The sequence below is a fragment of the Homo sapiens genome, chromosome 8 (genome assembly GCF_000001405.40).
Source record: "Homo sapiens chromosome 8, GRCh38.p14 Primary Assembly".
NCBI classification, from domain to species: domain Eukaryota; kingdom Metazoa; phylum Chordata; class Mammalia; order Primates; family Hominidae; genus Homo; species Homo sapiens.
The window spans coordinates 98,410,422-98,436,077 of NC_000008.11; the positions used below are offsets into that span (position 1 = coordinate 98,410,422).

Below are 25,656 nucleotides of genomic sequence, written 5' to 3' on the forward strand. Positions count from 1 at the left end.
AAAGCTGTATTTTCATGAGCACACGGTAAGACCTTAACGAATATTTGTTGAATAAATGAAGGAAGGAGGAATGGGATAAAATACATTTCAGCTGACTCAGATGCTTTTTTGGAGAGTTAGATAAACATTTACAAATGGGTGGATATATAAAGAAATAGATGAATAACCAAATTGGCACTAATTGATATGGTTGATAGAACACTGACACCATCTCTCTTGTCGACAGTGTGTGATTGAATTAATAGTATTAAGTATGTCTATGATATGACCCTCCCTGCTCTTTTCTATCATCCTCCTTACATCTTTCTTCACCTCCAGAAAGTATTCCCTCCACAAACACACAGACATTTGCGTGTCTACAAAAACAAAATCTTTCACAGATGGTACAGGTGCTAACAGAGAGAAGAAAGGGGAAGAGTGGATTCTAAGTGTTTCTTTTCACTTAATAATTTACCCTCAGATCAATAGGAGTTTTGGTACAGCTCAAAGTCCTAAGACTGGGAATATAATTTCTAGCAGTGTATTCTTGACAACAACATGTCCTTATTGCAATGAATTATGTACTAGCAAAGCATCCATCACCACCCCCCAGAAAGTCTGACCAATTGGTTTCAACACTTAGATGAGGCTTATTTTCAACCATCCATGCCCATTTGTACACGCCTACTAAGTGTAACCCACATAAATTTGAGTGTCCTCATGGCCTTTTCAGCTCTTGCATAGTCAAAAGAAATAAACATTCAACTCCTAAATCCTTGAGGAAAAAATGAAGATTTGGAGATGGGTTTTCTGATGATGTGGCACAAGGATTTTGCATTGCTCTAACTGCTCTTCTCATGAGAAGCCACTGGCCTGTGCTTTGAATTTAGTGCAACAAAATCTATCACCTTACAACTCTTCTAGAGCCAACAACTAGGCTGCATAACTCCCTTTTAGAAGTATGCGGGAAACATATTCACAGGAAAACATCTTCACTTAAGGCCAATAGGCCCCCTCACAACACTCAATACGTCTCCTCATTCAACCTAGCTTCTCCTTTCTTCTTCCCCTATAGAGTGTGGAGCCTTGGGGATTTAAGGCGGTGGGGTCTGGTGCCTCTGCAGCCTGCCCTGCCCCTGCCACATCATTAACATCTGAGCACAACATCCAGTCTTTCCAACAAAAGACTCTGCCCCTTGGCGATATCCACAGACCACATTTACTCCAAGTTACAAGCTAAAATGTTGTTTCTTGCCACAAATAAAACACAAGTTACTTACTCCAAAATTTAATGTACCCAGGGGGGCGACACTGTCTCATTTATGCTGAGGCCTGAGAAATGCCTTATGTGTGACCAACATCACTCCTCGAGGGACAAATCAGGGTGTACTAAGTCCCAGGCTGGATCTGAAGTGTTCCCTGAGTGGGACCAAGGGAGCTTCTCTCCCATTCGTCTTGCTTCTCAGCTTAAGACACAGCAGCCCCCAAACCACCCCACTGCCCTAGTTTAAACTCAATTATTCCATCTTGCTTGCAGAAGCTGCCATTTTGCCTCTTTCTGTTCCTTGGGCTTGATTAGCCACATCAACAGAGGGAATTCAAAAGGCCCCTCCAGTTTAAAATCAGCTCTCAAATTGCACAGCCACTCTTTGCCAAAAGTTGCTGATCTATCTCCCGCAAGGATTGATCCAAGTGCTTCTCATTATCCAAGCTAGCTTCTATTGCTCCCGAGGTGCTGCCTGCGATAGTAGCTCCTCCTACCACAACACAGGAAAATATTTGTGCCAGTAACAGATTCCTACTTATGAATTAAATACATAAATCCTAGCTAACCTCCTCTCTACCCTCTACTGTCTCTAGGGCAGTGAGGTGGTTGGCCACTAGAACAGACATCTGGCTGCGTTAGAGTTGCAAACAGTCTCCATTGTTCAGGCCTCATCTAACAACATCTTTCCTCTGCCTTTGCTGCATACCACCCCTGAAACCTTCAAATGGAGCCGCTAACACAGCTCAAAGCCTTTTTCTCTGGTTCCTTGCATGGAACTTCCTGTGAATTTCTTAGGTTTCTAGTAGCAATCAGCTTGTATAAACAGTTTCAAAGCCAACTTGATTGCCAACCTTACAGTAGCTGTTGTGCTCCCGGGGAGGTGGTCCCAGCTACAGCAGGGCAACAATGTGAATGAGTCCAACTGTCCTTATCACTGACCTCCTCATTCCTTGCACAAAGCTCCTGTTTCTTAAAGCAGTTGCATATCTATCAGGATTGGATGTGCTAATGTCCGATTTGCAATCTCAAGAGAGAGGGTTTTTGATTTTCAGGTTATAAATGCTTTACTTTTTTAACATAGAAGAAGCTCGGTGGTGGACGTGTACGTGGCCATTTGATGTTTTTATGACTAAAAGTTACAGTTCAGGCTCTCTCTCTTATAGAATATAAATGTATCCCTACATATGCATATGTAATTCTTACCAAAATTAAGCTTAGTTACTAAAAGAAGATTCACTATCTGAACTTTCTTCTATAATTTTTCACTTTCACCATCAGGCACTGGAGCATCTGGCCTCTCAGGAAGGTCTGGGACTAGTCCTTCTGATATCATTTTGCTTTTTGTTTTGCTTTGTTTTTGTTTTGAGACAGGATCTCACTCTGTCACCCAGGTTGGAGTGCAGTGGCGCGATCTTGGCTCACTGCAACCTCCACTTCCTAGGTTCAAGTGATTCTCCTGCCTCAGCTTCCCAAGTAGCTGGGATTATAGGCATGTGCCACCACGCCCGGTTATTTTTTGTATTTTTTGGTAGAGATGGGGTTTCACCATGTTTGCCAGGCTGGTCTCGGACTCCTGAACTCAAGTGATCCACCTGCCTTGGCTTCCCAAAGTATTGGGATTACAGGCGCAAGCCACCATGCCTGGCCTAATTTTGTTTTTGATTGCCATTGCTGGTACACCTACTTGAGCTATTTTGAGATTTCTGGCATATCTTGGATCCTTGGCTACAGTTAAGCTATTTCCTGCTGATCCCTCACTTTCCTGGGGTCCAGAGTCTTGTGTACTGTTCTGTAACTGCTCTGAAGTGGCTTCAGAATGTGCCGAAGTCCATTTGTGACACTAGTGACACTTAAAGGAGATACTTCAACTGTGACATCATCTAGGTCAGAGACAGATGACAACTTTGTGTCTAAAATGTTGAGAGTTGTTTCAATTTGTTGGATACAAAGACAAAGGTCTGCCAGTTTCTCCTCACAAACCGTAGAAAAGCAGTTGAGGAACTCTACAGTGTGCACCACAAATTGGTTTAGAAAAGCCACCGTTCTTTTCTGTTGAAGAGTTGGCACCTTGGTCAGGTCATGCCTGACCCCATGAGAGGAAGCCCATCGTCATCCATCTTCTCCGAGGGTGGGGGCCTCAGGGTTCACCCACAAACCCCTCCCAGATGGGGCCGCCCAAGCCAGTAATGGTGTGTCAAGAGGGAGTTTTCGTAGGCATCCTCCATTTAACTGGTTCACAGGGCCCTATATTTATTTGATTCTGTGTGTGGTACTGAGACCTGAAAACCATATTCTTCTCTAAAAGAGTAATTTTGGCCAGGCCAGGTGGCTCATGCCTGTAATCCCCACACTTTGGGAGGCCACAGTGGGTGGATCACCTGAGGCCAGGAGTTCCAGACCAGCCTGGCCAACACGGTGAAACCCCGTCTCTACTAAAAATACAAAAATTAGCCAGGCATAGTGGTGCATGCCTGTATTCTCAGCTACTCAGGAGGCTGAGGTGGGAGAATTGCTTGAACCTGGGAGGCGGAGGTTGCAGTGAGCCAAGATCGTGCCACTGCACTCCAGCCTGGGCGACAGAGCAAGACTCTGTCTCAAAAAAATAATAATAAAAAAATAAAATAAAATAGTAATTTCGACACCAGAATAGGGTCTACCATTTCCTCTCAGGCTTTCCCATGCTATTTGGTCCTTATAACTGACTCACCTACACTTGTTTGTATTACAATTCCAACAACTTAGCAATCCCAGAAGGTGTCTCTGTGAGTCAGGTCATGATTATTATTTTAATCTAAGAAACAGAAGATTGTGCCTCAGGCAAAGTCCCACTCATCCCTCCACCCCACAAATAGAACCTACACAAAGCTGGGTCTGTTTGTAGCTCTTTCCACATTGGGTTGCTTGCTAAAGCATACTCAAATCCAACTTCGAAACAGTGGGGACCTTTTGTGACATAAACTGGCTAGCTCTTCACCCCGCCTGATTCCTCTTCCTCCTGGCCACACAGGTAGATAAATTTCCCAGCCTCCCTTGCAACTAGGATTGGTCATGTGACTGTGTTCTGACAAATGACATGCCAGTGGGTATGATGTGGGCCACTTCTGAGCCTAGACTATAAAAACATCCTGTATCCATCTCTACTCCCTTTCTCCTTCTCCTGGCTTGATGTAAGTGAGCTCTGCACTATCGGAAGGATGTGTTGAAGATGGGGAGGTGCCCAGTCCCTGAATCATCACTTGTAGGAGAGATGCCCACTAATTTAGAACAAATATTTTGGACTCTACTATGATCTGAATTTGTCCCCCAAAATTCACATGTTGAAACTTAATGATCAATGTGATAAACAGGTGGGGACTTTAGGAGGTGATTAAATCATGAGGGTTGTACCTGCATGAATGGGATTAGGCTCTCATAAAAGGGCTTGATAGAGTGAGTTCACTCTCTTCCACCCTCTCACCATGTAAGGACACAACGTCTCCACTTCTGGAGGATGCTGCAATAAGGAACCATCTTGGAAACAGACAGCAGCCCTCGCCAGACACCAGTCCTGCCAGAATCTTGAACTGGGACCTCCCAGCTTCCAGAATTATGACGAATTTCTGTTCTTTATAAATTATCCAGTCTCGGGTATTTTGTTATAGCAGCATAAATCAACTAAGACAGACTCTATGTGAATAAGAAGTGAAATTCTATCATGACTGAGCCACGATACTTTTGTTGATGATAGTAGTCGGCATTACTTCATCTAAAACATTATAATGAGTGGTTTCCTGATGTGGCAGCACATCACACAGAAAACCTTCTTAAAATTCTTCAAACATCTTCTCATCTCCTTCCCAACCACTCCATCTCTATTCCCTCCTAAGAGTCTGCTTCCCACTCATGGATGTGCCTGCAACCACAATTCTTTGAGAAATATAATCCCACTCTTATTCTGACCCCTTTTCTTCTGAGAGGCTGCCATTATCTTTACCCTGAAATGTGGGTAAATTTTAAAGCCTTCATCTGAACACAGAAAGTTTGCTTTAATAGGTTAAACATGTTCTCCAACAATTTTCTCTAGACTCAATAAAAGTAAACTTCATCCTATTCCAGGCTAACTGAACAGATGATTTTTTGAAATTCCAAAGTAATCTAATATAATTAAAATAATGTGGTATTGTTGTACAATGATTATTACAAAAGCATTATTTGTTCATCAGGGTAAGAGAGACTCTGCCATAGGAGACAGCCAGTCCCCCTCAAATCTCAGTGATGTGACCCAGCTGTATGCACACAGTCTGTTTCAGGTCCCAGAGACTCTAGGGCACTTGTACTCCATGGGGTAGCTCAGAGATCCAGGCTGCTTTGGCCTTGGGGCACCATCATGTCAACATGTACTTCCACAGCAGAGGGAGAAAACACTGTAGGCTTTCACACAAGCTGGGCCATTCAATGCTCTGGCCCATATGCAAGTTGCCACCTCAGATCACAGCTCATTGCCCAGAGCAAGCCACGTGGTTCCTCCAAACTTAAGAGGGGCCAGGGAAATGTCATCCTTCCATATGCCCAGAAGGGACTGAGAGCTGGATTTGGGCGATCAAGATGCACTAGAAGACTCTAGCTTTGACATCTTTTATTTTTGTTTCTTAATATTTATACCTTAAACTTCTGGGAAGTCTAAATTTTTCTCAAAAATAATCTTGTGTTTGAAACTGTTTTTTTTTTTTTTTTTTTTTTGCTAAGTGATTTGGACTTTTTCTTTCTAGCCCCAGCTAATTAGAATGAATGTAATGTAAGGAAACATGTTCCTTTAATATAAACAAGAGCAAAGGAAATTAGAACCCTAAGAGAGGACCGCTCCTTCTCTCAGGAGACACACTCCACTGGGCAGGCCTGGAGGCCAGTGCAGGTGGGAGAGGGTCAGGAGAGGAGGTGCTTCCAGCATTGTGTTCCCCACCCCTCCTCTTTCCAAGTCACAGAGCTTTCTACCACGATAAAAATACCTAGAGCCTCCGTCATTTTAGCAAGATTTAATTAAACTGCCCTAAATTAGAAAATCTAGTCATTGTTTGCATTCCTAGATGCCTATGTTTAGTTGAGTCACACGTAAGCAGAGAAATGAAAAATTAGCTTAATTTTTTGGCTGCAGGGAAGGGTGTGAATTAGCTTTTTGTCACTCGTGGGGAACATCTTGTGTCTTCCCTCAGCTGGGTTTCTCTGATGGGATTGCTTCTTCCCACCCTCCCGAAGGTCTCTAAGGACAAGCTGCAGCTTGGCTTTGTCCTGGGGGAATCCTCCAGAGCCCACAGACAGACCAGCCAGATGGCAGAATCCAGGGGACTCCTCCTGAGAACAGCTGTGACCCTTCCAGGCTTCTGAGTAACTGACAGCTGCTCCCAGGTGGGCCTAGAATGGAAAGGGGGGCTTCTCACATGTGGGCTCAGAGCAGAGCTGAGTGCTGGGGAGGTGTTCAGGAACCTCTTGTCTTGAAAAAATGACTCAGGGAAACTTCCAGAATCCCAGGGGTGGGGGAGTGGAAGGCTGTAGAGAAGCAGTGAATGCAATGTTTAAGAACATAGTTTTGGCCGGGTGCGGTGGCTCATGCCTGTAATCCCAGAACTTTGGGAGGCCGAGGTGGGTGGATCACGAGGTCAGGAGTTTGAGACCAGCCTGGCCAGCATGGTGAAACCCCATCTCTACTAAAAATACAAAAAATTAGCTAGGAGTGTTGGCGCCCACCTGTAATCCCAGGTACTCAGGAGGCTGAGGCAGGAGAATTGCTTGAACCTGGGAGGCGGAGGTTGCAGTGAGCCAAGATTGTGCCACTGCACTCCAGCCTGGGTGACAGAGCGAGACTCTGTCTCAAAAAATAAATAAATAAATAAACAAACAAACAAACAGTTTCTGGAGCCACCCTGTTTTGCCTTGAATCCTGGCTCTATCATTGGTGAGTTCTGTAACTGTGAACACGGTACTCAACCTTTCTGTGCCTGTTTCCCCCTCAGATCATCCTAGCACATGCCCCACCATGTTGTTGTGATGATTAACCTAGTTACTAGACGTTAATCCTTATAACAGTGCCTGGCTTACAGTAAGTGCCCAATAAATGCTAGCTTTTGTTATTATTACAAAGAGGCCGTCCCAGCCAAGCACCTGCCTATCTCTGGGAACTTCCACCTGCTTTCCTGTGGCAGCCCCCCAGGCATTCTCCTTCCAGAACGCCTCGCTGTTCAAGTAGTGGAGAGTTTTTAATTTAATTTAATTAATTAATTTTTTTAGAGACAGGGTCTCACTCTGTTGCCCAGGCTGGAGTGCAGTGGTGTAATTGTAGCTCACTGCAGCCTTGAACTCCTGGGCTTAAGCAATCCTCCTGCCTCAGGTTCTCCAGTAGCTGGTACTAAAGGTGTGTACCACCATCCCCAGCTAATTAAAAAAATTTTTTTGTAGAAATGGGATCTCATTATATTGCCCAGGCTGGTCTTAAATTCCTGGTCTCAAGTGATTTTCCGACCCTGGCCTCCCAAAGTGCTGAGATTACAGGCATGAGCCACTGTGTCCAGTTCTGATTTTATTTTGGTCCAGAAAACTGATCACTTTGATGGACCAATCTGCAGGCAATGCCTGATCTGTGGGTAGGGAGAGCTACAAGCAGCGTGGTATCTCAGAAGCTATCCAGGATTTGAGTCCAGCAACAAAGCTGTCATGGGGAATAGCCTAGAGCTGGAGAATCTTTCAGAAAACCCAGAGCCAACTCAGGCCCTGGAAGTAACCATGGAAACAGGAGCCCACAGAGGCATCCAGGGTGTGGGATAGGTACGTGGGTGGATGGATGGATGGATCGATGGGCAGCGGATGGGTAGGTGGGTGGGCAGGTGTCACTTTCACAGCAGAAGGGCGAGGGCTGGGGCAGCAGCTGTGAGCACCTCTGAACTGAGGGAGGTTTGGGAGCTTGGAATGTGTCCTAGGGTAGACAGCTGGGCATGATAAAGACAAACAGACCAGGACAGAAAGGGATCTTACCCTGAGAGATTTCTCACAACTTCCCAGCCTAGGGAAGGAGTAGAGGTCAAGGGAGGAGGAGCGGGGTGGGTTTTTGGAGCAGGGTCCTTGAGCTTCCACTCCATATCTAGGTGAATTCTGCCCCATCTAGACTCTTACATGTTATAGCTCCCCCTGCCCTCTCCCTCCCATCTATACCAGCCAGGCTTTTCCAAGCCCTCTGTGCTCCACTCTGCCACAACCTGCAGACAAAGACATGCAGTCAGTGCATTTAGAGCAGTAGCTTCCAAGCACCTCCCACCACCCTTGGTGCCTGCATGGTGTTGTGTGCAGCACTGTGCTGGGACTGCAGCATCCTGCCACCAACGGCATGTATGTCCTGGCTCTGTAGCTTCCAAGTCTGGCTTCTGGCCCCAGGAGTCTGTGATCTGGCTAGGTACGGTGGCTCACGCCTGAAATCCCAGCACTTTGGGGGGCCGAAGCAGGAGGATCACTTGAGGCCAGGAGTTCGAGACCAGCCTGGCCAACATGGTGAAACCCCGTCTCTACGAAAAATAAAAAAATTAGCTGGGCGTGGTGGTGGGCACATATAATCCCACCTACTTGGGAAGCTGAGGCAGGATAATCGCTTGAACCCAGGAGGTAGAGGTTGGAATGAGCTGAGAGCACCCCACTGCACTCTAGTGTGGGCAACAGAGCGAGACTCCATCTCAAAAAAAAAAAGAGTCTGTGATCTACCTAAAATCCCTCACTACATTCTTCTGCCCAAACCCCTCCAGCTTCAGTGGGAACGTGGAATGGCACCCTTCTAAAATGCAGTGCGGATAAGTTCACAGTGGAAGACTTTATTCTGAGAAAAGGAAAACAAAGTCCTATTGAAGACTAAGAGAACATTTCTCAGTGCCAACCAGGACTCCTAGAGAGCCTGGGCATCCTGGGCTGCATCCTGGACCTGGAGTGAGGTCCTTCCAGCCAAGGATAGCAATGAGGACTTTCCTGTGCCCCCTGTCTCCACCTTGGGAGAAATGGATGCAGGATGTCTACCAGCTTCTGCTCATCCATCAGCAGCAGAGAATGCCAGGGACCCCAGTTTCTATGATCTGCTTCTTCCTATAATCTCGACACCCTGTGGTTTTATATGATTGAGTTCTGGCCAGGGGCTGTGCAGAGGTGAAGTCTGCCACTTTCAGACCTGGCCTCGAAAGCATCTTTGTGTCATTGTCCATGCTCTGTCTCTTCCCTTATCGCTCAACTTAATACAGAGGATGCCGGGAAAGGATTCTGGGGCCCTGGGAGCTGGCAGAGATCTAGATGGAAGGATACTGATCTTGGAATCACCATGTGGGGAAGACGCTTTCCAAACACCCAACTGGACCATAACACAAGCAAGAAATCATTGTTTTCTAGTTGCCCTCCCCCTTGTCCGAGGTTCTACTTTCTTTGGTCTCATTTACCTGAAGTCTGAAAGTATTTGATGAAAAATTGTGGAAATAATTAATAAATGTTAAATTGTGTGCTTTTCTGAGTAGCATGGTGAAATCTCTTGCTGTCCCATCCAGGACAGCAATCCTCCCTTTGTCTGGCGAATCCATGCTACAGGTGCTCCCCACCCCTTAGTCACTTAGCAGCCACACTGGTTATCAGATCAACTGCCTCAGGGCCACAGTGATGTCCAAGTCACCCTTTTTGTAATAATGGCCCTAAAGCACAAGAGTGGTGACATTGACATATTGTTATAATTGTTCTATTCTATTATTAGTTATTGTTCATCTCTTACTGTGTCTAATTTATGAATTAAACTTTATCATAGGTATGTGTGTATAGAAAAAAATTTCTAGGATTGGTACTATCTGTAGTTTCAGGCACCCACTGGGGGACTTGGAATGTATCCCCTGCAGATAAGGGGGGAATGCTGTATTATGTTAAGTCCCTGGGATTTGGGGGTTGTTTGTTACAGCAATTAGCCTACCCTAATTGGTCCTGCACCTACTTGAGACAGTTAAGAGGGCAGATTTGGATACCACAGAGACATGTTTGAGTCTAAACACCCCACTTAATGGGCATCATTAAATGAGGTAATAATAGTACCCAAGTGAGGGCAAGAGGCAAGCAGAGAGCTTGGCACAGGGCCGACGCATCACAAGCACTCAGCAATTGGCACTCGTCATGGCTAACATTTTCAGCACTTGCTATGTGTCAGGCCTTGGTATATAGCTCTTTAATGCATCTTTTAATTCTCACAGTAATCTTATGAGTGTGGGACTCTCATAGGTTTCAAGATGAGGAAAATGAGGCATAGAGAGAGTAAATGTTTCACCCAAGGATTCATGGCTAAGGGCAGGACTGGGACAGCTAGCTTCATGGTGCGGGGCTGGCTCTTCATTTTCTCTGCCATCTTCATCTTCCGTAGTCACCTGTTGTGGTGGGTGGTAGTTGAGGCTCCTCCACTCCCTGAACGCACCGGAGGGCCTCAGGGTGAATTGTTCTGATCTGGGCATTCCACTGGTCCCAGAAGGTAGGGCCAGTGAGAGGGGATGGGGGCTTCAGTTCAGCTGTCAGCCTCCCACAGAAAGTTCAGGAGAGGAGAGACAGCTGACTGCATAGGATATGCCTGAGGCCAAGGGAGAGGGAGCTTCTGGGTCCCTGGGCCTCAACTTCTGCACAGTGGTCTTCAGGAGGACCTAGGGTAGAGGGGAAAGATGGCCAGACCCCTGAGGCTGAGAGGGGCCCTGGAGGGAGGTGGTTGCCCCTACCCTTGCAGCCATGTTGTCCTCTTGTTCATTTCCTTTGTGGTGACTCTAAGTTTAAATTTAATCAAACTTCTCTTAATTATTCCAACCTTGGGCCAGGTGCAGTGGCTCATGCTTATAATCCCAGCACTTTGGGAGGCTGAGGTAGGTGGATCACTTTTAAGGTCAGGAGTTTGAGACCAGCCTGGCTAACATGGTGAAACCTTGTCTCTACTAAAAATACAAAAATTAGCCAGGTGTGGTGTCAGGTGCCTATAGTCCCAGCTACTCAGGAGGCTGAGGTGGGAGAATTGCTTGAACCCGGGAGGTGGAGGTTGCAGTGAGCCAAGATCGCACCACTGCACTACAGCCTGGGTGACAGAGGAAGACTCTGTCTCAAAAATAAATAAATAAATAAAAAATTAATTATTCCAGTCTTGTCTCAGGATGTCCTGAGGAATTCAGTGGAGGGCCCCCAAGGGAGCAGTGCCTAGTGGGGCTGGTGAAGAGCCCTCCAAGGATAAGGAACTTGGAGCAGGAGGCATCAGAGGAGGGAACTTGAGGGCTCCAACCCCACAGGTGTGGGCCCTGTGCAGGCCAGACTGGAGGATCTGGGCCCCTTTTCATTAAAGGACTCTTAGAGAAGCTCTTCAGACACAACCACACCCTTCTCTGCCTCATCGCTGGCCTCCAGGGAGCACACAGGGATGGAAGGGCTGTAGTCAAATGGGGGAGTGGCCTCTGCAGATAAAGCCAAATGGCCCAGGCAAGGACTCACCTATAAAACAAATTCAGTCCAGCATCCAGGAACAATGCAAAAGCCATATAAACATTTACTGTTGCCTCCTGAGAAAACACTTCATGAGGAATTGCATTTGTAACGTGCAGCAAAACTTCTAAAATCCTTTGTTCTCCAATTTTCCTCTCAATCTCTCCCCTCCCCCCACTCCAACTTCACTGGGGCCTAGACCTGGCTTCCCTCATTCCAGGGTCTCGCTCTCCTGCCTCCCTCATCTCCAGGCCTGCCTCCATCCCCAGCAACGCCCCTGCGCCCTTGCTACTGTAAAGCCACCCAGACAGGCTGGCTAGCTCCCTTGTCCTCCGTCCCCATTTCCACCATCAACATCAAAACGGCTCAAGAGGGGATCCTCTTCCAAGGAGGAGGAGAAACTGTGACAGATCCTAATCTCAAATTGTTTCCAAGGTAAAGAATTCTGGGAGGAGCAGGCACAGGAAACCGTCTGGGAGTCTGGCATGGAGGGAGGCGACGACAAAGGCACTCAGCCCTCACAGTGCTCCCACCGCAGGCAGGCCCTGCCCTAAGACCTGGGGCAGTGGGTGGGTGTCTGCCAAACCGAGTGAGACGCAGACCCCATCCCTGATACTGACCGCCGGGTGCAGACTCATGGACACACAGCTCTCGATCCGCACCCCCAAAGTCAGGCTGCTCAGGGGCTCAACCTTGGCTCCACCCTGGAATCATTTAGGAGCTTAAGAAATGCCGATTTGCCCTCACCAGAGACTCTGATCTAATTGGCCTGGTGTGAGGCCCAAGGCATCTAGGAGGATTGGCTAAATTAAAATCTCCCCAGGTGATTCGAATATGCAGCTAGGACTGAGATCTACTAAGCTGATCAGTTGCTCAGGAGAGCACCCCAGAGCCTGGGGGCTCCAGACCACAGCTCCAAGCACAGTGACTCCCTCCCCATCCAGTTCCCTTCTTGATGCATCAGGAGGAAGGAGTTGGGGCCAAGACTCTGGCAGGCACAGAATAACTTAACATAGCAGCTGGGGCCTCATTCATTCGTCATCCAATCCTGTATTCAATAACTATTTAATATACGTGTCGTGAAGGCACAAGAGAAACTGACCAAAGGCTCCAGTTTAGACTGGGGAGTCAGGCCTCTCTGAGGAGGTGATATTTAAATCACCTGAGTGGCAAGAAGGGGCCTGCCCCGTGAACCGCCATGCCAAGCAGGGAGTGTGGTAGTGCAGAGGCCCTGCACAGGGAGCAAAGCGGGCATGCGGCTGGAGCACAGCTGGTGGAGAAGAGAGCAGTGAGCCGAAGTTTGGGAGGTGGGCAGAGTGTATCATAGGGGGTCTTGGAGCTGTGGTTAGGAGATGGTTTTCATTCTCAGTGCAATGGGAAGTCCCTGGAAGGCTTTCAGGAGGGAATGACATGACCTCGTTTGTGTTTTTAAAAGACATTCTGGCTGCTGTGGGGAGGATGGCTGGTGGGGAGCAGGATGGACACAGGTGAACTGTCCAGTCCTTCAGGGCGGAAAGCACCTCTGTGCTGAAACACCAGGGGGAAGGTCAAGGACCCAACTGTTCCTCACAGTGGGGAATGTAGGTCAGGCAGCTCCCTCAGCCAAGCTGCCAGTGCAGCCCCCTCGCCTGTCAGGGGGAGAAAAGCTGAGTCTGAGATGTGTGGGCTCAGCTGAGAGATCATCATTGGCAGTGAAGGCAGAGATAACAGTCGGCCAGGTGCAAGGATCTGGGCCACTGACTAAGGTCTCTTCATCCCCCTTCCCAGGGTGCCTCTCCCTGCACACCTGTACCCCCTCACCATCTTCCCAGCAGGCCAGCCAGGCCAGCCCAGAGGCAGGCCTCAACCTGCGCCTGGAGCAGTGGCTGTATTTTAAGATCAGGGCTCAGACCTCTAAATAAACCATAAACAAAGCCAGCTTCCCCGGTATGGAAGGAGGGAGATGGCTCCATTTCTTTTCAGCACGATGACTGGGAAATAAACAAGTGGCTCTGCCTGTCACATACACTTAACCTCTGCAAAGGCATCTGTCAGACCCACAGAGCTTCTGTCTCAGCCTTTCCAATAAATAACTGATGTGCCCCACATTGGGCTTCTCCCTGCAGGCTCCAAGTTCACTCTGCCATTCAAGGAAAGGTGAGCAGGGGGGCTTGTCCCTGACCCCAAACTCACAGAAAGAGCTATCAAAGGGCAGGCTTAGACACAGGGCCCTAGTGTAGCTGGAAGCATGTTGGCACAGCTCTCTCAGCTGGGGAAGGGGACAAGGGGGAGGGAGAGAGGGAGGAAGGTAGGAGGTCGGGTTGTTGGCAAGAGCAGGGGCAGAGCTGAGAGGGGCAAGGAGTGGCCTCTGTTAGAGAGATGGGAGGGTGAGAGCCCCAGGGGCCCAGGCAGAGCCTGGTCTGCAGGTGGGGTGGCCGTGGGTGTGGAAGAAACAAAGAAAAACAGAAGGCAGAGGGCTCTCTCTCCATGGGTGAAATCTCCCACGACCACAGAGGATGAAGGAGAAAGAACAACAGACAGGAACAGAAGGAGGCGGGCAGATACATGAAGCAGGGGAGGGAGGAAAGCCCTGGAGGAATCAAACTCAAGTATGTGTAGAAGGAAGGACCCTCCAAATGCAGCAGAAAAAGGTGATTTATGCACTGAGCTAAACCAGAATAGCCAGGAGCCAAGGCCAAGGGAATGGGAGCGGCTGGGAATGGCGACATGTGGCAGAAGCCACAGAAGGGGGCTGTGAGCTCTGGAGGGGCCGGAAGGCAGGCAGCTCGTAGTGAAAGGATAGGGGTGAGAGCTAGGGAGAGCCACAGGGCCCATGAAGGCTGTCCCGTAGGTGCTGCTGCTCAGGCCCCTGCAGCAGAGACACCTTGCAGCCACCATCACCCCGCCGAAGGTGTGGAAGGGGGGATTGGAAAAGGGTGAAAGAGGCACTGACACAGGGATTATAAATGCACTGAAGCACACACCCCCTCAGCAAGGGTGGCACTCTCTCCACAGCACCCCCATGGGGATGAAGGAGATCCAGGGGCTCCCAGACTGCAGCCAGGTGTGTGGGAGCCACAGACCTCCAATGATGGACCCAGCAGACCTAGATAGAGGCTGCTGTCCACACACAGACCCTGAAAGAAAGGGAGATGAAGACAAGGATAACCAAGATCAGATTTTTCTCCGTCTCTCCCTCTCAGACACACACACACACACACACACACAAACACACTGGGAAATAAAGGGTGGCTTGTGTGTGTTTGAGGGTAGGGCAGAATGGAGGACTGGATTCCTCTTTTAGGGACCTGAAGAAAAGTTTCCCAAAGCCTGGGGAAAGGTCATACACAAGAAAGAGGAAGTGTGTGTGGCCCTCACTACCCTACTATCCCTCTCCCATGTGGCTGCCTCTGTGGAATCCACCACATTTGCAGAGGCCTGCAGGGGCATGGGTGTGAAGCCCTCTCAGCAGGAAACACACCTGCATTCACACCCACACACATGTCCAGAAGCCAGTGGGTCACAGGGATGGGTCAGACTTGGATGCAGGAGCCCCCATTCGAAGCCAGATTAACGGTCCTCTACAGGTCCTCCAAGGAGGCCCCAAGCCCTCCAGAGCTACACAGAGCACCTTTTCAGCTGGGACGGCATTGCCAGGATTGCGTAAAGAAAGAATGTACTTCCCACTGTGGCAGTGGTGGTTGCACCATGAATCCAGAGCCACCCTGCAAGGGCATTCCCAGGACTTCTGACCGAGACATGTAGACGCTAGCTCCCTGCTAAGCTCACACAACCACGGTGCTCCAGTCTTTGCAAGTGGACACCACAGAGAAACACCAAAGGGAGGGGGCTCCCCAGGGACTGGGTCCATTTCTCAGCTCAGCCCAGTAGGCAGGGCCTTAAGGACAATCCCAGCAGACCAAGAGCTCAGATCTGGGCCACGAGTCTTCTTAGGAATAGGGACACAGATCCTGAGCACATCTACCAGTCCCCACTCCAGCTTGAACCCCCCAGTCCCCACTGTCGGCAAGCACACCGCTCTCAACATATTCCACACACATGAGCCCGTCACAGTCCCAAGAGTACTACACTGTACACAGCACATGTACACACAGCACACGGTTCCCCATGCCACACACTGCGCTGACACACGTCCCAGGTCCCCCCTGTGCCGACGCATCTTCCCATCCGACAGAGGACCCATTTTAATGAACGCGGTACACACAGACACTGAAAAGTCCTGCTGTCCTCAGCCTACATACACACACAGCGCCCTGCAGTCCCGCACAGCCAGCACACCACACCGGCCTGGACACAAACTGTGCCCACACAGAGCTCCCGACCAGAACTCAGCGACTCCCGCCCCCGCCGTGCGGCCTGCGCTCCCGCCCCCCGCGTACTAAGCCGATCTCCACCTTGGACTTCCCGGCCCCCTCTTTTCCCCTCCAGCTCCTGTTCCCCAACAACCCCACCCCCGGGCTTCGGGAAACTTTTCTTCAGGTCCCTAAAAGGGGACACCTGGAGTTCCTCCGGTCCCGCCCTGTCCCCGGACACGCGCAAGCCGCCCTTTATTTCCCAGCCCAGCTCCCGCCAGACCCAGCGGGGAAAGGTCACCGTAGGCAGCCCCCTGCCTGCGCCCTGGGGGTGGTGATAATAACAGCTGTCACCGGGGGATGGTCGGGGGGAAGGGAGAGGTGTCGGCCCCGCGCCGAGCCGGGGGCGCAAGGTGGTCGCGGTGACGCGCCGGGGAAGCGCAGAGAAGCAGCGGCGGCGGCGGCTGCGCCTTCCGAGCCCGGGCGGCGGCCGAGGCACGCGGAGCTGTCCGTTCAGCACCACCGCGCCGCGCCCCGCGCAGGGCGGGCGCCCCGTCACACCCGCTCTGCTCCCGCCCCGGCTCACGGGGCGAATGCGGCGCGGGTTCCTGCCTCTCTGGGTGGGTGAGGGGCGCGCGGATCCGGAGAGGGGGCTCCGGGAGCGGCGGGACCACGCAGCCACCTGTGAGCCTTCGGCAGCTGCGGGCGGCGGCGGCGTACCCGGCCCGAGACGGGAGGAGACGCTCGGCGGCCCCCGCCCGCCGGCCCGCCGGGCGCACACACTCGCACCCGCGCACGCACCGCCAGCAGGCAGCGGCCACCGCCGCGATGCTCGCCCGCGGGTTGGGGAAGTTTCCCGCCGGCCTCGGCCGCGGGCACCCGTGCTCCCAGGTAAGCGCTTCCAGAACGCGCAGGGCGAGCCCGGGCAGCCCCGCTGGGTGAGGCGCAGCGCACGCGGCCCCGGGGCATAGCGCCAGGCCGGCAGGGAGACCTGGGCCGGGGACGCGGGGGCTGCAGGCGTGGGATCTGGACCCAGGGGAGGCCGGGCCGCCCCCCTCATTCCCGCGGCCCGGGTTTCCAGACTCCAGCGCATCCCCCCCACCCCACCAAAGCTACGCGCCCCCCGTGTCGGCCCGGCCCTGCCCGTGCGTATCTCAGCTCCGGTCCCGCCTGTCTGCGGCGAGCGGGCGGGGGCGTCTCCCGGGCCTGCCCATGGACAAGGTCAGCATGCAGCCCCCTGGGCGCTCAGAGCCGCGGGGACGCGACCCCGCACGCGCAAAGCGCCCACCGAGACCCCTGGGGTGGAGCTGTGCTAATAGAAACATACCCACCCCCAGCCTTTCCTGGGAGGGGATCAGACCCCTCAAACTCTTGCCCCAGCCCAGCCCTTCAGCACCCAAGACCCACCAGGAGGCCTGGGCCCGCCAGTAATGGGTAGGGAGAGGGGGCCCCGCCAGGGCGCACGGCGCTCTCGCCGACGCTGTTCCCTCCGCTTCCAGGTGTAGCGCCCCCGCGCGGCGCGGGCGGCCGGCGCCTCCAGCATGACCGGCCAGAGCCTGTGGGACGTGTCGGAGGCTAACGTCGAGGACGGGGAGATCCGCATCAATGTGGGCGGCTTCAAGAGGAGGCTGCGCTCGCACACGCTGCTGCGCTTCCCCGAGACGCGCCTGGGCCGCTTGCTGCTCTGCCACTCGCGCGAGGCCATTCTGGAGCTCTGCGATGACTACGACGACGTCCAGCGGGAGTTCTACTTCGACCGCAACCCTGAGCTCTTCCCCTACGTGCTGCATTTCTATCACACCGGCAAGCTTCACGTCATGGCTGAGCTATGTGTCTTCTCCTTCAGCCAGGAGATCGAGTACTGGGGCATCAACGAGTTCTTCATTGACTCCTGCTGCAGCTACAGCTACCATGGCCGCAAAGTAGAGCCCGAGCAGGAGAAGTGGGACGAGCAGAGTGACCAGGAGAGCACCACGTCTTCCTTCGATGAGATCCTTGCCTTCTACAACGACGCCTCCAAGTTCGATGGGCAGCCCCTCGGCAACTTCCGCAGGCAGCTGTGGCTGGCGCTGGACAACCCCGGCTACTCAGTGCTGAGCAGGGTCTTCAGCATCCTGTCCATCCTGGTGGTGATGGGGTCCATCATCACCATGTGCCTCAATAGCCTGCCCGATTTCCAAATCCCTGACAGCCAGGGCAACCCTGGCGAGGACCCTAGGTTCGAAATCGTGGAGCACTTTGGCATTGCCTGGTTCACATTTGAGCTGGTGGCCAGGTTTGCTGTGGCCCCTGACTTCCTCAAGTTCTTCAAGAATGCCCTAAACCTTATTGACCTCATGTCCATCGTCCCCTTTTACATCACTCTGGTGGTGAACCTGGTGGTGGAGAGCACACCTACTTTAGCCAACTTGGGCAGGGTGGCCCAGGTCCTGAGGCTGATGCGGATCTTCCGCATCTTAAAGCTGGCCAGGCACTCCACTGGCCTCCGCTCCCTGGGGGCCACTTTGAAATACAGCTACAAAGAAGTAGGGCTGCTCTTGCTCTACCTCTCCGTGGGGATTTCCATCTTCTCCGTGGTGGCCTACACCATTGAAAAGGAGGAGAACGAGGGCCTGGCCACCATCCCTGCCTGCTGGTGGTGGGCTACCGTCAGTATGACCACAGTGGGGTACGGGGATGTGGTCCCAGGGACCACGGCAGGAAAGCTGACTGCCTCTGCCTGCATCTTGGCAGGCATCCTCGTGGTGGTCCTGCCCATCACCTTGATCTTCAATAAGTTCTCCCACTTTTACCGGCGCCAAAAGCAACTTGAGAGTGCCATGCGCAGCTGTGACTTTGGAGATGGAATGAAGGAGGTCCCTTCGGTCAATTTAAGGGACTATTATGCCCATAAAGTTAAATCCCTTATGGCAAGCCTGACGAACATGAGCAGGAGCTCACCAAGTGAACTCAGTTTAAATGATTCCCTACGTTAGCCGGGAGGACTTGTCACCCTCCACCCCACATTGCTGAGCTGCCTCTTGTGCCTCTGGCACAGCCCAGGCACCTTATGGTTATGGTGTAAGGAGTATGCCCAGCCCCTGAGGGGAGAGATGCATGGGATATGCACCCAGGTTTCTTTTACAGTTTTTAGAATCGTTTTTAGAGGGTGGTGTGTCTGACACCATGCCTTTGCACCTTTCCATGAAATGACACTCACTGGTCTTTGCATCGTGGGCATAAAATGTTCACCTTTTTGCCAGATGAGTACACCCAGAATGCTAATTTTTCTGTCCATCGTGTACGCTATTCTAGTGCTTGTGGCCCAGTACTGTCTATGAGTTGTCGTGCTCCTGTTTCTGAGGTTGTCGTGTGAGTTCTGTACAAAAAGCCCCCACAAGTCGTCCAGTAGAAATGCATCTATGAGGTCAGCAAGGATATGATGAGATTTTGCTCACAGTCATGTGAAAACAAAATCTCAGCTCTTTATCCATTGCTTTCACTTAGTTTTAGTACCAAAACAAAGAGAATGCAAAGTTAAGCAGACTTGACCAATGCAAGTCTCTAAGTTGTTTTTATAAATGATCTGTAGTTCCGTGGCTTGCATGGGTGCACCAATCATCTTTAGAACGATGTACACTGATGTTCATCTCATAAATGTCACTCTTTAGAGAATGTTACTTAGTTAAACATGCAGTGAAGATCGAATTTTTTTCCCAAGAACAGATGTGTTAGGGAGAGGGGCTTCAGCTAAATAGTCCAAACCCTAGGGTGCTTAAAGCCAAGTTAGTGCAGGCTGAGCCCCTTGGTTCACAGTCAAGCCTCCTTGTTTCCTAGGGTGACTGTAGAGAAATGTATTTCCGGATGAGGTTTCTGATCTAGGCCATTTGACCAAACTTTGCTGTGTCTAAGATATTAGCATGTTTTTGAAATATTTATTTTTTAAGATGTTTAGGAGTAAGGTCGTGTTGTCTTCCTCAACTAAAAAGAAGTTTACTGTTGTATCGTCTCCCTGAGGTGAACGTTGTTGGGTTGCTAGCAAGGGCAGTAGCTTAAATACTTTTGTTGCCTACTCTGAAAGCTCATCAAATGAGAGCCCTTTTATTTCCAAGCAGAATTTAGTCAGATAATTTTGCTTCTAGGATATAGTATGTTGTATATGATGCTGTGATTGCCCTGGAGTTCCTGCCATGACATGGAAACCTGGTGGTATGGAAGCATGTACTCAAAATATAGACGTGCACGATGGTGGTGTGGCTTACCCAGGATGGAAACACTGCAGTTCTTACTTGCATTCCCACTGCCTTTCATGGGGGGTGACTGGGTAGAGGCCAGGAGAAAGGAAAGAGTTGTAAAATAAAAAACTGCTAGTTCATAAAATGTCATAAAAAATTGTAAACTTGAAAAGCTTAATGCTATTCAAAAGACCTTCAAGCTTCCAAACTTGTATTGAAGGGAGACGACTGTTTCCTCCTCCAAAATGCTCCTGCTCCTCTTGTTCGGTTAACCAGCACATAACATTGTGATGGGGAACCTGGGTTCCTCTATAAGATAATTCTTCTCCATCATCTTTAAGGTAATCTGATGGTTTTCCAGGTGGCTTTCATTATTGTTCCATCTTTGAAAAGGCAATAGAACCCAGGGGTCTGAGCATGGAGCTATCCAGGGTTTTCATCCAAAGGTTGGGCCTCTTCTTAAGAGGTCCTTTTGTGTTTCAGTTGATTGAAGATGATACTTACCTCATTGGAGGTGTGGCAAGGATCTTATCAGAAGGCTTTGTGTTCTTGTAGTTGTCATGGCTACTACAGTGTGGGTGATTTATTGAATGAATTCACTAGCCACTTGTGTCCTGGAGCCCCCAGTTCAAATCTTTCCATTGGACTGGAGGCTTGTGGGAGGCTGGGAGGTGGCTGTCTCCTAGTGTCTACATCCGTGTCTCTGAAGCATCAGGAAAAGTGAGATGACTTAGAGGCAACTGGGCACTGAATCAGAGGAGCAGAGTTATTTTTCAGAATTTGCACATGGAACACTTAGATTTGGCTGGTGCTTCCAGCCCTGGAAGGCATAACATTTACGGACTCATCCCCAGCTGCACTGAAGGCAGGTGGTGGTACAGACTTATGAGGACGGATCAGTTTGCCAAGGCTGATGGTATTGGGTCACTGAGCCTGGTATCCATGGCCGCTGACCAGGAAGCTTATGCAAAGTGGAAGCAAGGAACAAGGCAGAATAACTCAGTCACTTTCATGAAGATTTTTCTAAACAAGAAGGCTTACCACCAAAAAAGAGGTACCCTAGTGGTTACCCTTTGCAGATGTGAAAGCTGGAAAACTTGACTTTTCTTTTTGGTAATGACTTGCATTTATCTGGTGCCTTTCGTTGGAGGAATCCCAACGTGCTTTAGAGACTATCTTTTTAACATCTCTTGTACATACATATATACTTATATAAAATATTATCTTGCCCAACTGGACCTTTACTCACTTCTGAGCATGAGAATGTCCCAATAGCATTGAGTTTTTCAAGTGGTGGTTTCAGATAAGTGGGAGAAAGAACAACCCGGCTGGCTTAAACCCTGGAGCTAATTCCCACAAGGAATGTAGACTGAATGGTGACCCAGGGAGAAATAATCTTCCTCTCCCCTAAAGTCTCACTAAGGTTTGAAGTTTACAGGTGCTCTCCACTGGGTCTTTGATCGACCTTGCTAGATAACATCTAACCAGCAGTTTCTTTTAGTCCCTGAAGCTAACCAGGGAGAGTCAGGTTAATTTTCTGTAAAAATATGAGGTGACATCTTTGGCAACCAGGCTGTCAGACTGACCTGTAAACCTCCTTTAGGGGGACAGAGTAGAAACTGGAGATGACTTGTTTCCAGCTGTGAGCTTGAGAGAAGTGTCACTCCCAGCATTTGAAGGTTATTGTTTTCAATGCCAGTGGGCCAAATATATGGGCCAGGCTTTGATATCTGTGATGTGCATTTTGGAAGTGCTGGGTTGGGAAGTGACACGTCTGTTGCACAAATGCATATTGGTTATAGGTTTGTGTTTTCTGCCAAACCCCCACATTTCTCGGGTTTGTGAGTGAGGAAGGGCATGTTGTAATGCCAAGCTGATTTGTAGCTCGTAAGGTAGTAATTGGTATTTAACATTTGCATTTGTTATTTCTACTTATCTTAGCACTCAAATAATTGAACTACCTGCTAATTCTTGCCGCATTTCAAAGAAAATAAGTTGTTATGCACTTTGGGATAGTGGTGATCTGTACAGGCTGTGTGTTAGCTACTTGAAGGCGTAACTGGTATTTCTTGTGTGTTTTAACAGCATGACTTCTTACAGAGCTGTAATTTTTAAAATTGAGGATGCCATATTTGAGATGTCAGTTTTAACACTCATTAACACACTACTGTGCAAGCATTGACACAGGCTGCACTGAACCATTATGTCTGATTGCTGCACTTTCATCTCTGTGCCTCGATTCGGGAATGGGCAGTAATACTGACACACTCGGGACTCCAGCCTCAAAAAGTGTGCAGATTAAATAGACAAAAATTATTTGCATCTCTTGGAGGCATTTCAATTACATATGCAGTAGCAAACAAGGAGGGCATTCAAAGTTGGGGACCAGATTTCCTGAGAAAGCCTGGGTGTTTTTTTTGTTTGTTTGTTTGTTTGTTTTTGCAATTTGGGGAAGGAGAAGCTGTTGTTTATTCTTGGTAAAGGCGGAGTCCTAGTTTTCTAGGATCTCGAACCACTAGCCTCCTTGGTAGAAGGAATGGTCCTGTATTCTTGTAACTCTTGTGAAACAGACACCCCTGCAGGATTTTCCTCCTGCATGCTTTCCTGCTCAGCACCTCTGTCAGCCTGCCCTGCCAGCCCCAACCTGTCCCAAAGTACCACTCTCCCTGCTGCCGAAGTAGGCTCCCTAATAGTAAATTGGGGAACCCTGAGTGTCCTGGCTGGTTGGGCATGAATACTGCTGGGGGATACATAGAGACACTTCTTGGCATTACTTAAAATAGACTGAGTATGGGCCGGTCCAAAGGCCATGGTGAATCGGTAGGAAGGCCACTGGGCTGACTTGGTTCTGCTGGGTTTTGCCTCCAGCTCTGTGATTGTAGGCACATCCTGTGGCCTCTCCAAGCCTCACCTTCCACTGCTGCAAAATGAGAAGGTTGGATTAGATAATCCTTAAAGCCCTCCCTACCCACTTCTTCACCTCAATATAAAAACAGAATTTCTGCATGTCTCTCTATGTCCTCATTCTAGCCATGAGCCGATCCTGATATCCCTAATTTATTTTTAAGAAGAGCAGAGAGATTGCTTACAAACAACCTTCTATTTGGTTTCATTTCCTCTTCAGCAGTCAGCTACAATAGACGACAGTTGCAGGGACAATGCAATCAGGAAAATGCTTGAGCTAGGTTCTGATCCAAGTGAATCAAGTTTTAAAATCATCAGCTTGTCTCCTTTGGGATTTCCACTATTTCCACCTATGTACACGGAATCCAGATTCCTCCTATTAACAATCATTAGGCAGAGGAAAATCAATAAGATCCCATTCGACTTCAGGGCTAACTCTTTGCTCATTTTGGTTTGTTGCCTTTGTGAAGGCTAGGAGATCCCCTACCTGTTCCCATGAGGTTATTGGGCCCCAGAAGGGGCCCTGAGGTGTATGGAGCAGATGGCTCTCCCATCCAACACTCAACTCACACTGAGCAGTGGTGGCATCTGCAGGTGGCCTCGTCTGTGTATGCAGCAAAAGGGTGTAGAAATCTGTGTTAACCTTGCCCCGCACTCGTTAAGGCTGAGGAAGGACGCACAGCACTGCTCTCCAACCTCACCACAGTCTTTGCGTTCCATCAAGTGGGGTGTAGCTCAGCTCCTCCCCTTTAGCCACCATCCCTGCAGCAAGGGTATAAATGGATATTCAGGGGGTATTTTAGGGCCAGGATGCCTTACATCTTAAAAGGAAAAACAAACACCTCCCCTTGAGGGAAGAACTTAAATGTTGCATGTACACGGTTATTATCTCCTCCTACTTTTAGGAGAAATTTAAACTAGCATTTCCACCCAAGGCCCTTACATGGCTGTTACATCCGGTCAATGGTGCAGGTCTGAAACTCTGCAACATTTTCCTCCTTCTGGGACCTCACTTGTCAATAGCACCATCCTCCTGGGTAAATTCTCCCAAGCAAATGACTGCATCTGCAGCTGGCAGCTGATGCATTCAGAACAGAGATGCAAACAAGGCCTCAGAGACCCGTGGAGGGGAAACAGAGGGAGGGGAAAGAGATACAAGAGAAGGGGAGAAGAAGGCTGGCATGCCTTGGAGTTGTGTAAGGCCCTACAGAAGGAACAGTGGATAAAAAGAAACCAGAAATCGGAGGGAAAGAGAGAAAAAAAAAGAGGGAACAGGATAGAGTGAATAAAGGAAAGGGCAGAGAAGAAAGAAGGGAAAAGAGCAGAGAGCAAAAAGAGAGGCAATGTCTAGTGACATTATTCTAGGCCTTCCATTGAGTCTATTTTATTTCCAGTTAACCTAGTGTGCTCCTAGCCCAGCAAGTCCTCCTGGGGGCAACGATCACTGGGGCTGCTCCCACTGCTCTCCACCTGGACTGGCCCCCATCCCTGCTTGCCAGAGGGCTCCACAATCTGGTAGAATAGAGAGCACAGGAGCCCCCTGGAAGCATTTTTGGATGAAGGGGGCAATGAGGACACGAGGAAAGAGGAATAACTATTTCCTTTGTGAAGACAGGACTTCTGGGCTACAAACAGAAAGAGGACTCCAGGAGCCAGCCAGACAGGGCATGGTGCTGGGAGTCAGGGCTGGCCAGGTGGAGGGAAGGGAAAAGGAAAAAACCTTTTCCTCCAGTAACAGGGACCTGCATAGGCAGAGAGAAGGAGGCTGAAGCACCAGCATGTGTGCAGAACATCGAAGTCAGTAAGTCTAGAGAAAAGCAAGGTGCAGATGGGGGGCAGAAGTAAGCCATCTGAAGAGCCTGAGCTTCATTCTTTTGTCACCAGGGTACAGATATCCTGACCAGATGAATGTTGTCAGAATATGACTCTAGCATCAGCTTGGAAGTGTGAGAGGGGACAGGTGGCTGATTTGAGGTCACGGTCACAGTATAGATCAGATACAAAGGGAGTGGGGTGGGGAGGAGGGGCAGTGCAGGTGGACGGGGAGGCGGCTCTGCAGGACTCCATCAGTGACTGGATGTGGGATGAGGGAGAGGGAGGGGAGGATGGTTTCTGGGTTTCTGGCTGGGTTGGTGGCTGGATGGATGGTGGTGCCACCTGGAGAGACAGGGAATACTCAGAGCCATGTTGCCCGAGTGCCTGGGATACACAGAGCGGGTGTGCAGTGGGCAGAGGGAGGCCTGGAGGCCAGGCAGCACCCTGAGGGAGCCTGGCATGAGAAGGGGCCCTTGGGGATGAGTGAGGCCATAGCCTTGCTTTTCTCAGCTGACTCCTTATCTGCCAACCTATTTCTCTCCCTTTCCCTGAGAAATCCTGAGGGGGTGATCTCTACTGGCGACCTTGGCTTTCCTCTCCTGTCACTTCCTTGTGTTTTCTCTGTGACCGGCCTCTGTTCCCACCACCCTTTTGGAACTGCTGTCCTGATGGTCACCAGTGCTTTCCTAATAGCCAAATTCAGTGG

At 49.9% G+C, this 25,656-nt stretch overlaps 2 protein-coding genes and 1 pseudogene across 7 annotated transcripts in view, besides 3 other annotated features; 1 reads left to right on the plus strand and 2 right to left on the minus strand.

Annotated features, from left to right (window-relative positions):
- Nucleotides 1–25,656, minus strand: part of STK3 (serine/threonine kinase 3) — a 598,636-nt gene that overhangs the window by 66,447 nt on the left and 506,533 nt on the right. For 2 of the 6 annotated variants that reach the window (XM_017013756.2, XM_047422132.1), the window contains one exon: nt 19,515–23,897. The exons of 3 other annotated variants lie outside the window; for them this stretch is intronic. In XM_017013756.2, coding sequence (XP_016869245.1) covers nt 23,833–23,897 — 65 coding nt within the window. In that variant the 3' untranslated portion in view covers nt 19,515–23,832. Of the gene's footprint in view, nt 1–19,514; nt 23,898–25,656 lie in introns of those variants that run through there. One more of the 6 variants, XM_011517251.3, reaches the window with a different exon arrangement.
- Nucleotides 2,894–3,392, minus strand: LOC100131849 (WASH complex subunit 3 pseudogene; annotated as a pseudogene).
- Nucleotides 5,832–6,783: an enhancer, noted in NCBI's record as "VISTA enhancer hs908". NCBI's record gives its function as "enhancer in: neural tube[5/6] | midbrain (mesencephalon)[4/6] | dorsal root ganglion[5/6] | trigeminal V (ganglion, cranial)[5/6]" and the evidence as "EXISTENCE:transgenic organism evidence [ECO:0001131][PMID:17130149]".
- Nucleotides 11,629–12,237: an enhancer, noted in NCBI's record as "H3K4me1 hESC enhancer chr8:99434278-99434886 (GRCh37/hg19 assembly coordinates)". NCBI's record gives its function as "activates a minimal SCP1, AML or CMV promoter by ChIP-STARR-seq in naive H9 embryonic stem cells {active_cell/tissue: H9 hESC(naive)}" and the evidence as "EXISTENCE:reporter gene assay evidence [ECO:0000049][PMID:30033119]".
- Nucleotides 16,437–16,636: a silencer, noted in NCBI's record as "silent region_19397". NCBI's record gives its function as "represses an Ori minimal core promoter by ATAC-STARR-seq in GM12878 lymphoblastoid cells {active_cell/tissue: GM12878}" and the evidence as "EXISTENCE:reporter gene assay evidence [ECO:0000049][PMID:35858748]".
- Nucleotides 16,537–22,432, plus strand: KCNS2 (potassium voltage-gated channel modifier subfamily S member 2). Its single transcript, NM_020697.4, has 2 exons — nt 16,537–16,908; nt 17,517–22,432. Exon 2 carries the CDS (start codon nt 17,559–17,561, stop codon nt 18,990–18,992), a length of 1,434 nt encoding a protein of 477 aa, NP_065748.1. The 5' UTR covers nt 16,537–16,908; nt 17,517–17,558; the 3' UTR covers nt 18,993–22,432.

Coding starts and splice junctions, on each gene's coding strand:
- KCNS2 (NM_020697.4), top strand. CDS start 17,559: ATGACCGGCCAGAGCCTGTGGGACGTGTCGGAGGCTAACGTCGAGGAC.